Source organism: Homo sapiens, chromosome 7, assembly GCF_000001405.40.
Source record: "Homo sapiens chromosome 7, GRCh38.p14 Primary Assembly".
NCBI classification, from domain to species: domain Eukaryota; kingdom Metazoa; phylum Chordata; class Mammalia; order Primates; family Hominidae; genus Homo; species Homo sapiens.
In genome coordinates this window covers 82,758,838-82,771,020 of record NC_000007.14, presented here as the reverse complement: position 1 = coordinate 82,771,020, position 12,183 = coordinate 82,758,838, and the positions used below count along the sequence as shown (strand labels likewise).

The following is a 12,183-nucleotide window of genomic DNA, read 5'->3' as shown; positions in this document are numbered from 1 at the left end:
AAATACAGTTCTTCATTCCTTCTATGTTGTCCTACACATAAAATGTTCTGTAGAAGTAAGAAACTTTGTTCAGAAAACATATTTCTGGGAATTAAATTTAAAACATATCAGCGGCTTTAATATAGCCTTTGTAAAACAATGATATACCAGAAGATAAAATTCAATGCAAATAAGATTATCAGAATTGTTTTTTAAAAAAATCGAGTAGCTTGCTTTGCTACTCGAGGATATAGTATGCAGAAAAGAAAAGCACTAATTATAGGTAATTCTTGAGTACCAGAGTCAGAAGGCCTTTGATCTTTTAGAGGAGAGATACAATTTCAGCATGTTAGGTAAAATTATTAAAGACTCCAGGGTAATGTTAATACACCTCATTGGAAATTATAGAAAAAGATTAGTGAACAGGACAAATTATAGAGAGCTGACTTTCTCTAATAGATTCAGCAAAGTGAAAAATGTCCTTTTTTTTTTAGAAATTTCTATTAAAATCTACTGAATATTTGAATACAAGATCTTATTGGTTTTTTGTTTACTCTGAATGAACTGAGCAATTAACCTTATGTTTTCTAGGCATAAATTGTCAAGTGCTTCTAATGGTCTTCCACTGCATCAAAAATTTTGGAAGAAAACAGATAATTGAGTGAGATGATGGGTTTATTTCTTAGCATGATTTAAACATTCCATATTATAAACACATATCAAATATCACATTGTACTCCATGAATATCTAGAATTATTATTTGTCAATTGAAAATCTAATTTTTAAAAAAAGAATAAGGGAATATGGAGAAATAAAAAGAATTAATGCTTATTGAGTAATTATCACTTCAGGGATTGTACTAACAATTTACCTTTGTAATTTTGGCATTTGAAAAAGATCATCACTTTCATCACCTAGGCTTGAAACTGGTAGAATAGAAACAATAAAAGGAAGGAAAATCAAATTACACTTGTGGGAATATACATCACTACTTTGGCTATTAACAGCTAGTAGGGCATTAATAAGACTTTCCATAATGACTGGGTTTGAAAACTAAGTAAACCAACACAATTATTTAGAGCAGAAGATTTAATGACTTGCCTGCCATCTCACGGGGCTAGAAGCCAGAATTCCTGGTTTTTAAAATCTGTCTTAGAGTTTTTATCGATTTGGAATAAGTGATGGGAGCTAGGTAACAAATTATGAGGTGATAGACTGTCATGGCTAAATATGCATCTTATCAGACACCAATTCAGACTTCATTAGCTAGCACCAGTGACCTACATCATTGCTATGTGGTATTTATTAGTGAAAATTTGCAAATACAGTGTAATGGGACGAGAATTTTGTTCACTCTGCTTTTTTTCTTACGCAGACTTTTCGTTTACAAGGTATCATTCTTTCCTTCTTTTCTCTTCCACATTGTATTCATTTCCAGTTACTTAAAACTTGCCTCTAAAGAGACTTTTGCCTAAAATGGTCTTGCACTGGCAACAACTGCTGAGGTTGCAATAGAATTGTTAGAATTCTGAGAGACAGTAAACTCACTTTATACTATGTCCAGTTAAGTGGTACAGACACCAATAATGTAATAAAAAAGAAATATCTTCTCAATTAATAGTCACTTTTCATGTTTTAGCAATTTCACATAATGATGAATATTTCAAAAAAAAGCATTGCTGTGTTTATTGTTTAATCTAAACAATTTTCATAATTGACCTATGTGCCTATGTAGACAATAACTTCTGGAAGACATCTTCCGTTGTTTAAACAATTTAAAGAGTTGCTTACTATGCCATCTCCTCTTTCTAAAGTCCAGTATGTGACTAAAAGAAAAAAGCAAAATAGCCTCTGTAAACTCTTTTATTCTGATACTGTGTTACAAAAATGTTTTAAAGCGAATATTCCCATGAAGTCAGTGTTTTCGCAATCTTATTCACAGAAAATCTAAAGTAGCCATGAGAGAATGGAGCCTTAGACTTAAAATTAGAAGATCTAGATTAAAGTTCAGCCAGGGCCATTTAACGACTTGGCAAGTTACTTGAAATACCCAAACCACTTTTTTCTCATGTGTAAAATAGAAATTATACCAATCTATTTCTTTTGGTGAAATGATGATTGTATTCTGTTAATCGTAATGTTTCTCTATAAATGCAAATTAGATAGCTAGAGATAGAGGTATGTGTACAAATGTATGCATATAGATATCACATACACATATTTTTCAAAGATAAAATATATATAAAATTTTTATCTGAGAAAATTCAAAAGTGAGAAGGCCATTGTATATACTAATTGAGAATAAAGCACCAGAAAGTGATTTAAGAATTGCTGTGGAAGATAAAAATAAGCCAATTTGACAGTTACATTAGTAGAAACACTTTAGCTAAAGAGAAAGCAAGAATCAATTTTGTTAAAGTAGAATTAAAATATTCATGTTTATCAAAAAATGATTATATTTTAAATTTAATTGTATTTTAAGGAAAAAATGAATGAGTTAATTTCAATAAATATTTTAGCCATATTACTTTATTAAAAATTTTCACGAAGTTTAAGAGACAAAATTTAAAATATTGAGGTTGAATAATTATACATTTTAATACTTTTTTTTTTTTTTTGAGACAGAGTCTCACTCTGTCACCCAAGCTGGAATGCAGTGGCATGATCCTGGCTCACTACAACCTCTGCCTCCCAGGTTCAGGCAATTCTCGTGCCTCAGTCTCCCGAGGAGCTGGGATTACAGGCTCACGCCACCAGGCCTGGCTAATTTTTGTATTTTTAGTAAAGACGGGTTTTTGCCATGTTGGCCAGGCTGGTCTCGAACTCCTGTCCTCAAATGATCCATCCAGTTGTGCCTCCCAAACTGCTGGGATTACAGGTGTGAGCCACCGTCCCCAGCCTAATACTATGTTTTAATTTTAAATTTTATCAGTTGATTCTCTGTTTTAAATTGTAAGTAAATTAGTTCTCTTCCACTTTCTTATTTTATTAATTGTCTGGATTTCATCTTCAAGTTCCTCCTCCCTCCCTGTCTCTTTCTCCCTTCCCTCCCTCCCTCCTTTTTGCTTTTCTTTCCTTCTTTCTTTCACTCAATCATTGCTATATCCTCTGCCATAGTCTTATATATTTCAGAATGAATTTCTTTTATACATTGATATATCTTTCAGAGAACTTATTTCTTTTTCTCCTGAATCCTTTTAAGAATGATTCCTATATTCTTGAAGTATAATATTAAATGGGATATATCAGTGTATCAACTCATCAATATTTCCAGAAATATAGGATGCACTTTTGGTCCACAGATTTATTCTTCTGTTATTTGGGAGAAATAATTTGATATTTTTAAATAGATATTATTTTCTATTCTGTTGAATTTACTTTTTCTGAGAAAAGATTATATGTATCATAGTTTTCTTCTCTATACCTCAATCTTTGTTCTCTACCTTTATTCTCTATGTTCTCTATATTATCTTAATTCTTTCTTTCCTCCATGTCAATAATCTTAATTTCTATCTTATCTCATTTTGTACCATGATGTTTCCACTTCACTAATAGTTTTAAAATGTGATTATTAGTGTTCTTAGATCTGGCATCTCCATTTTCACCTCATATATTATTTTGTCATCTCATTTTTAACCATGACTTCTACATCCTCCATCCCTTCCTCTTCTCCTCCCTGTTCTTAAGTTGTAGATTTGTGCCACATTATAGGATAAATATCTTCTCTAGAGTAGGATTAATTTTTATTCTTTTAATACGACCAAAGAAGCATAAGTTTCAGGACGCCAGGAGACCTGAAGGCTGGTCAAAGCATTTTCTAATGCCATTTCACTCTTTATCCAAACCAAATTATAAAACATCATCATATGTCCTCTGTGTGTGTGATGGTTTTTTGTTGTTTGTTTGTTTGTTTGTTTTGTTCAAAGGCTCAAGCAGATCTGGAGCTGCTGCCCAACCTGCAAACACGGAGGATTTTGCCTCCATCCATGTATTTGCTTCAAAAGACAAAAGCATTACAAACCTATAAAAGGTCAGATATAAGAGGTAGCAATGGACCCACAATTAACGCAACCACCTGCTTTGAGACAACCTCAGTAAGCACGTCCTTTCTTCCTTTAGTAGCAAAGAACAAGCTCGTTCAATCTTTGAACAGAGAGAAACTTATAAAAAAAATTTCACAAGTATCACACTGTGAAGCCTGTGAAGTTAAGCATTCCAAGAAAGAAACAAGCAATGTGATGACTTGAGAACTTCAATTAGCAAGTTTTTAATTCCACTTTTCTCCCCAAGTGAGAAGGCGAAAAACAACAAATTTCACATATGCGGTGTGTTGAGCTTTTAGGCCTATAATGGAAGACTATGACCTATAAAAGTGAATTTCTCCCAGATAAAATTTGTCTTGCTGTTCTATTTCATCATGATCATTAGTGTGATCAATTCTATTCACAACTGCTATTGACTCCAAATAGCAAGAGAGAATTTTCCTTGACTCCCTCCCTTCCATGTTAGAAACCTCTTTTTCCTTCCCTCCCAGGTATGGTTTGAGAGATTGAGGAGTAGCTATCTACTTTTCTATGGCTTTAAAGGAAAGAGTGAGAGGTGCCTGATAGATAGATTTGCCACCTCATTTAACTAGGTTTTTTGCTACCTCTTTTACCATTTGATTAAATGTTTTCTGTCAGTGTTCACTCAACCAAGCAGAGGTGCATGTTATTCCTATGAAAAGATATACTAAGCTTTACATATTTCCCCTACTTTATCTTGGAGCTCCAGTAATGGGGAGGCATGTCTGTTTTTCCTGATTCTACTGAGACTCTTGAATCTTCATAGTGATAAGCCAAGGCTGCCACTCTCAAAGGTTTATTTTGATTTTTTCCTAGGGCTAGCTACTCTCATTGTTCATCTACTTCCCTAAGATGGGGGATTTAGTAATAATTCTCAGGGTTTTGTCAATTCATTTCTCTTTTCCTGACAAGATTTTGTGATATCTGTTGTACTCAAGAATGCTGCTGACTTGTACCTTACCAGAAACTGCCTTTTCATTCCTAGACATCACTTCTTTGGGTTTTCTGTCCGGAGACTATAACCTATTCCTTGCTTCGTTGGTACTGGTTACCACTTTCCTACATTTTACTTTTTTTTCTCCCCCCGCTAACTTCTCTAGATATTGAAGAAGGGAGATCTTAAGATCTGATTCATTTTCTCGTTTTTATTTTAGAGATCCTTTATTTTCCTGTGAAGCTCCTTTTAAAAAAAGATAGATTTTTAATGGACTTGTTTATGATTATTTAAAATGGTTAAGTGACCAGAACTGAATTTGCCCTCACAAATTCAAAGAAACATATAAGGTGAGATTTGTAGTTTCCCATCTGTCAAGAATGTATAAACAAAATGTGAGCCAATTAGTATTAGGGTATATTCATGACACCAGACATTTTATACCAAATCTTTGAGAGGAGAGTAGTGTTACAGTTAAGAGAACACATGTCATTTCTAAATAGTAATGTTAAGAAGCCACATGACATTAACTAAATTCACTATTAATTTTTCTATTTTGTTGGTGGGTTTTTCAAAGTACCAGAATTTTGATTTATTAATTTTATCTACTTTTTTTCTGTTCCCTACTTTATTAATTTTAGTGGACATCTTTATTATTTCCTTCCTTGTACTTACTTTTATTTTATTTTGTTGTTCCTTTCTAGATTTTGAGTTGGAATTTAAACCAATTGTATTTTTTATTTTTTTATTGATAGCAGATAGAAGAATATGTGTATTTTCTAATCATTACTTGAAATGATACAGGAGTTTAAAGCTATTTATTTTCATGTGATCATTTCTTTAACTCTTACAGATTCTGATATATAGTGTTTTATTACCATTATTTTTCAGAACTTCTGTATTTTTTCATATATTTTTCCATTCACCCAAAAGTTGGTTAGTTGAAAGCCATTGAGTGTATTATCACATAATTTGATAATAGCTTCATTTTATAGAACCCACTAATGTCTTCTTTGTAACTCAATATATGATCAGTTTTTGAATATGTTCCATAGATGATTAAGAAAAAGGTATATTCATTATTATCAGGGTATAGTGTTTGATACATATCCGTGAGATCTACTTTATTGATTATAGTGTCTCAATATTTTATCTAGTTTTTTAGTTCACTTGCCTTGTCTTACACTGTTAATATTGCATTATTATCATCTTTACTCCTCAAATCCTCTATATTCTTGCATCTTACTTTGTAGTTTCAACTTTACATAAGTGGTACACGGATATTGATAACTGTTGTGTCTTCATTATGATTTATGGATTTCTAGTTTCATACAGTGTCTTTCTTTGTCTTATTTGCTGCATTTTGGCCTGAATTCTGTTTTATCTGATAATAAGATCTCAACCTCTGCACTCTTATTGATTCCATATGCCTGACATACTTGCCAATATCTGTATTTTTTACTATTTGGAATAAAACCAGATTTTAGTTGTATTTCTTGTACATAGTATAGAACTAGGCTTTGCTTTGTGAGCCAATCTGAAACAATTTTTAAAATAGACTAGCTAAAACTTACTCATGTTTAGTGATATAATAGATATGCTTAATCTCAACTCTGCATTTTATTTTATAATCATTGTGTATGTTATGTCATATTGATGATATTTCTCCACTTGGCCTCTGGGTTTTTTAATTTTCTTTTGGAATTAAGAAAGCTTTGTATCTTTGTTCTAAAGGTTTTCCTTTTATTTATAGTTTTTATAATGTCTAACTCCTGTTCCTCTTACATGACCATTGACTGCCTGGTTTGTTAGTTTTAAATGGCATCCTTTGTTACCTATTACCTATACAAAAATCAGTAATCCCATTCTGCTTTCCTCTTTCTCTCTCCCTTCTTTATTCATTAATTTTTAGTTTCATACTTTATACTTTGTCATAAATATGACATTTCCATACTATTCTTCCACCAACCTATGTACTGCTCAATCTTAGTTCTACAATTAATTATATTGAATAATTACCATCAGTCCCTTTGCTGAAGTTTCTCTAGTTGTCTCTTTCATTTGATGAAATTTATCTTATATATTTCTGAGAGAGTCAAACTTTGTGAAGTATTCCCTGAGTTCTTTCATGCTTAAAATTGTAGGCTTGATAGTTGAAAGACAGGTTAGCTGGATATAAAATCTTTTATTTATGCTTGGAGTTTCTTGAAAGTAAACATCTCTCTACTATGAACTATCTCTAATCATTGGCTCATGAATTATTATTTAACTCTGGAAGATTTGTATTTTAGTTTATAAAACTTATAGAAGATAATTTTGTCAATTTTTGGACTACAGTATTAGTTTTTTGACAGAGGAAGAGAGCGAGGAGAGATATGTTATAGATATTTTTCCACATGTAAGGGTATATCTGGACTTACAAATTTTAAGCTAATTTCATCAAACAGTTGCTTAATCCAGAAAAGAATACATCTATCAATTATATCCCCAAAATGTGACAAAATTAAATCAAAATGATCAAATAACTACAGCCTAATATTTTTACAACTTTACTCACAGTGTTTTGTTATTTCATTTTCTTTCAAAAATTACTCAACTATACTCTATAACACTGATTCTCGAAATGTGGTTCACAGACCTCCGTGGTTCCGCGAGATTTTTAAGTTCATAAAGTCAAAATTATTTTCAAAATACGCTGAAATTACTTACCTTTTTCACTTGGTTGATATTTATATTGGTAGTGCAAAGTAATAGTGCATGAAAGTGCTAGGGACTTATTTCCTATTAAGGCAGTGGCAAGAAACTATGCTAGTAGACACTTTATTTATTTACCAACATGCTCTTACAGGGAAAAAAATGCCAGTTTCACTTAAGGGTATCCTCGATGAATCAGTTCAACTGTTTAAAAATCTAAATCCTTCAGTGCATTTCTTTCTAATATTCATGTGACTAAACAGGAAAAATTCTTAAAGTGCTTATGCCACATACCAAAATACAATGGTTGACTTAAGAAGTCTGAGGCTGCAGTGAGCCATGATCGGGCCACTACACTTCAGCCTGAGCGACAGAGTGAGACCCTATCTCTAAAAGGAAAAAAGAAGTGAGGTACAGTATGGCTCATGTCTGTAATCCCAGCACTTTGTAAGGCCAAGGCAGGAGGATTGCTTAAGGCCATGAGTTTGAGAACAGCCTAGGCAACATAGCAAGACTCCATCTCTACAGAAGGAAGAAGAAAGAAAGAAATGAAAGAGAGCGAAAGAAAGAGAATGCAGTTGTCCTCTATTAAGCCATGCACTAATGAAATTTGAAAAAATATAAAACAGTACCTCTATTTTTTTTGGTTTGGAAAATATGATTATGTTCTTTAAAACATTTTCATTAAAGCAGTTGTCATTTGATTTGATTAATAAATATTTTTAAATATCTACTTTTCAATTTTAATTAAAAATTAGAAATTTTATATTTCTAATATTGGTAGTTATCCACATAAACAAAGGTTCTTTGAAGACTGTCAATTTTTTTTGAGTGTAAAGAATTCCTGAGATCAAAATGTTTGAGAATAAATTATCTACAGCCATGTTTAAAGACCTTTAATGGATTCCTAGAGATCTAAACAGAAAAACCAAATTCTTAACATGGCTTCTATTTACAATATGTTACTATCACATAGGCATTTATTTCTCATGTTATATTTCCTTTTGAGAACACACTGTTCCTTCTCTCTGGAATGTCCTTCCTAATCCGTCTCACCTAATTAACTCTCATCCTTCTGGTTTCAGCTTAAGCAGCACCTCCCTAAGCATCTGCTCCTTTGTTTTAGCCTCCATTGAAACCATACTTCTATACTTCAGAACCTTTCCTCTTTTTATAATTATATATTTATTGATGAAAATATCTGATGAATGGTTTTCTTCCCAATAGATAGAAAAAGCATGAAACCAATAAGCACGCACGTTTTGGCTTATCATTATATTCACTCTTCCTAGTGGAGTGCTTAGCACAGAGTAGGGTGGGAAATAAAATATTTGTTGGAGAATGAATAAGTGAATTAACGCATGAATTGATATAGAGTCATATCCCTTGATAGAGTCATATCTATGTGAATTGATACAGTCATATCTATTACTTCTTTTGTCCTAAAGTCTACAGTTGAGTAAAATTTATCTACATGCATTTCTTCATACCTCCCTTGTTGCTAAGCTATCATTATGTCTAACATACTTTGGTGTAAGCATCTGTGTATTTATCAGTCTACCCATAAGATTCTTCACTCTTTACAGGCTTAAGGGCATGGACTGTATTTTATTCATATCTGAATAAATGAATCTGTGATAAATTTTGTGTATTTTATTCATCTGTGAATTAATTTATTCACCTGTAAATAAATATACAGATGAATAAAATACAGTCATAAGATATTTAGCACTTAGGATGTCATAAGATACTTAGCACTTGATAAAGAGTAAATGAATGTATGAATGAATTACTGAACTAAACATTTCATATATGGCATTACATACTTCTTTGCATTTTTATTAAATTCTCCCAGCTAAAACTCAGGTAATGGGAGAAATCAAGATTGCATTGAAGAAGGAAATGAAGACAGATGGTGAACAACTAATAGTTGAAATTCTCCAATGCAGAAATATTACATACAAATTTAAGTCTCCTGATCATCTACCAGGTATCTAATTCTATTATAATCATCAATATATCTAGATTTTTTTAGGGATGTGTCTTACATATTCTGGAAAATGTTAACTAAAATTTGAACTGTACACCAAATATGTCAGAAAAAATAACTGATTAACATATGTAACAAGTTGTTTTCTTTCAGTTTTTAGCTAGATATTTTAACATATACATTATAGTGTTATATTCATTAGCCAACAGAAGGACAATTTTAAATTGTTAAGAAAAATAGATATATCAGTTAGGTGTGGTCGCTCCTGCCTGTAGTCCCTCTATGTAGAAGACTGAAGCAGAAAGATCACTTGAGCCCAGGAGTTTGAAGTTAAGTGAGTTATCTGGCCACTGCATTCCAGACTGGTGACAGAGTAAGACCCTGTCTCAAAAAAAAAAAAAAAAAAAAAAAAAAAGACATATCTTTTAATCATTTTATGTTATCTGAAACAAATCGTTTACAATCTGCTGGCTTTGTGCAAAATGTAACAAGAACTCTCAGTATACAGTTATAATTCTTTCAATAGAAATTTATATGATTGATGGAATTTAATGGGCTGAATTCTTATTTTCAGATTTATATGTGAAAATATATGTGATGAATATTTCTACCCAAAAAAAGGTGATCAAGAAAAAAACAAGAGTATGCAGACATGATCGAGAGCCTTCGTTTAATGAAACTTTTCGATTCAGTCTAAGTCCTGCAGGACATTCTCTTCAGGTAGCTCTGTATTATGTAGTTCATATTTGAAACTTCTCATTCATATTGTATTTATTTTTATCCCATTATTCAATATTTATATACTGATCATACACTATATGACATTTGAGAAGTTAATTAATTTTCAGCAGTATCTCCCCAGGAATCTTTTAGAATTCCACAGCCCACTCACCCCATCCAATCAGCTGCCAAGCCTTCTCTACCCTGTCTGTGGAGTTTATTTTACATAGATTCTTCTTATTTCCATGCTTACTGCCACTAAACCTTTTTGGGCCCCCATCTTTGTTATTCAAATCATTTCATCTGTTTACCTGGCCTATTGTCATTTATGCCTTATCCCTTTAGTTCATTTCATCACAGCACTGCCAGAGTTACATTTTAAAACCCTGGTTAGTTTACATTAAAGCTCTTCAATTACTCACCATTATCTTGAATCATTCAGAGTCCTCCAAAGTGAGTTTTAATTGTATTGACTTAGTCTCAGCTCCTTGGATACTTTTCCACTCACTTAATACTCCAAGTCACAACAGACTGTTTTCAAGTCATGTTAAGCCTCCAATCCTTTGCTCATATTTTTTCTCCCCTTCAAAGCTCCCTTTTCCAACTCTCGCCATCTATCACAATACTCCACATCTTTCATCTCCTTACTGATGACCCTGGGTATAATTCATCTTACCTTATTCACAAAGCATTTTGCTTCTATTAGTAGGCTATCAATCCCAGTCTGTCTTGTAACAACAATATCTGTACTTACCTGTCACTGCTTCTATGCTATCAGTTTCTCTAGGGCAAGGACTAATTTTCATTGCCTACAGCCTGCACAATGCTTTGCACATAGTACGTCTTTAGTAGATATAGAGACAAGGAATAAAAGTAGAAATGGGGGAATGAGAAAAGAGAAAAAAATATAGGAAGAGACCATGGTACAGGAAATTAAAGGTTTGAATTAGAGACAAAGATAAAAGATATTACAAAGCAAAAATGTATTGAGAAGATTAACTGATATTAGACTGGAAGGGAATAAAAATGTGAAATGACACTCTGAAGTCTGTGTCAACAAATGTATTATTTCACAGAGATTACGTAGTCAGGGAATTTGGAATAGAGAAAGACCAATAGTTTGTCCGAAATGAATTTGATAAGAAGGCAGAGATTTGAGTGAAAATATACAATGTCACTTGAAATCCCTGAACCAGAAACCAGAAGAGATAGTCATATCTGGAAGTACAAATTTTGAAGTAAGAAGCATAAAAGTTTTCGCCAGGAATAAGGGTAAATTATATAACTGGAGATTCTGAAGAGAAAAAGAGAATAAAATTACAAGGATTACTGCTTAGCTCCACTGAATGCTCTCTTTACTTCAACTCATCTTTAAAATGAAAAAAAAAAATTCTTTAGTTTGAGACCCTTGTGATAAGTTCTGCATATGACTTCAGAAAACAGCTTGGAAGTACATACTATAGTAAAATCACCAGAAAATTTCATACTAAATATAAACAATGCTCTGTGAAGTTATATTTATTTATTCAGAATACAGATAATCTTTTATTTGATTTGGATTTGTGTAAACTAGTAAAAAATTATTTGGCAAAGTTATTTTGTGAAACTTTCCATCAGTTTAAGCATAAACTTAGAATTAGCTAGTTAGACATTTCTTACCTAGTATTCTCACATTCTTCAGAATGTGTCTTTTCCTTTGCAGAATAATACAAATGTTGATGTGAATTAATTTATATTACATGCAAATCTTTTGAGAACACCTTGGTTATCAGTTCTCCTGCAAATATGTCTGCTACTTCTA

General features: G+C 32.2%; 1 protein-coding gene across 4 annotated transcripts in view, besides 1 other annotated feature; it reads left to right on the top strand.

Annotated features, from left to right (window-relative positions):
* Positions 1-12,183, top strand: part of PCLO (piccolo presynaptic cytomatrix protein) — a 408,873-nt gene that overhangs the window by 391,864 nt on the left and 4,826 nt on the right. For all 4 annotated transcript variants that reach the window (XM_017012006.3, XM_047420211.1, NM_033026.6 and 1 more), the window contains 2 exons: positions 9,528-9,662; positions 10,237-10,382. In XM_017012006.3, the coding sequence (XP_016867495.1) occupies positions 9,528-9,662; positions 10,237-10,382 (281 nt within the window). The remainder of the gene's footprint in view (positions 1-9,527; positions 9,663-10,236; positions 10,383-12,183) is intronic.
* Positions 10,500-11,110: an enhancer, noted in NCBI's record as "NANOG hESC enhancer chr7:82389227-82389837 (GRCh37/hg19 assembly coordinates)". NCBI's record gives its function as "activates a minimal SCP1, AML or CMV promoter by ChIP-STARR-seq in naive H9 embryonic stem cells {active_cell/tissue: H9 hESC(naive)}" and the evidence as "EXISTENCE:reporter gene assay evidence [ECO:0000049][PMID:30033119]".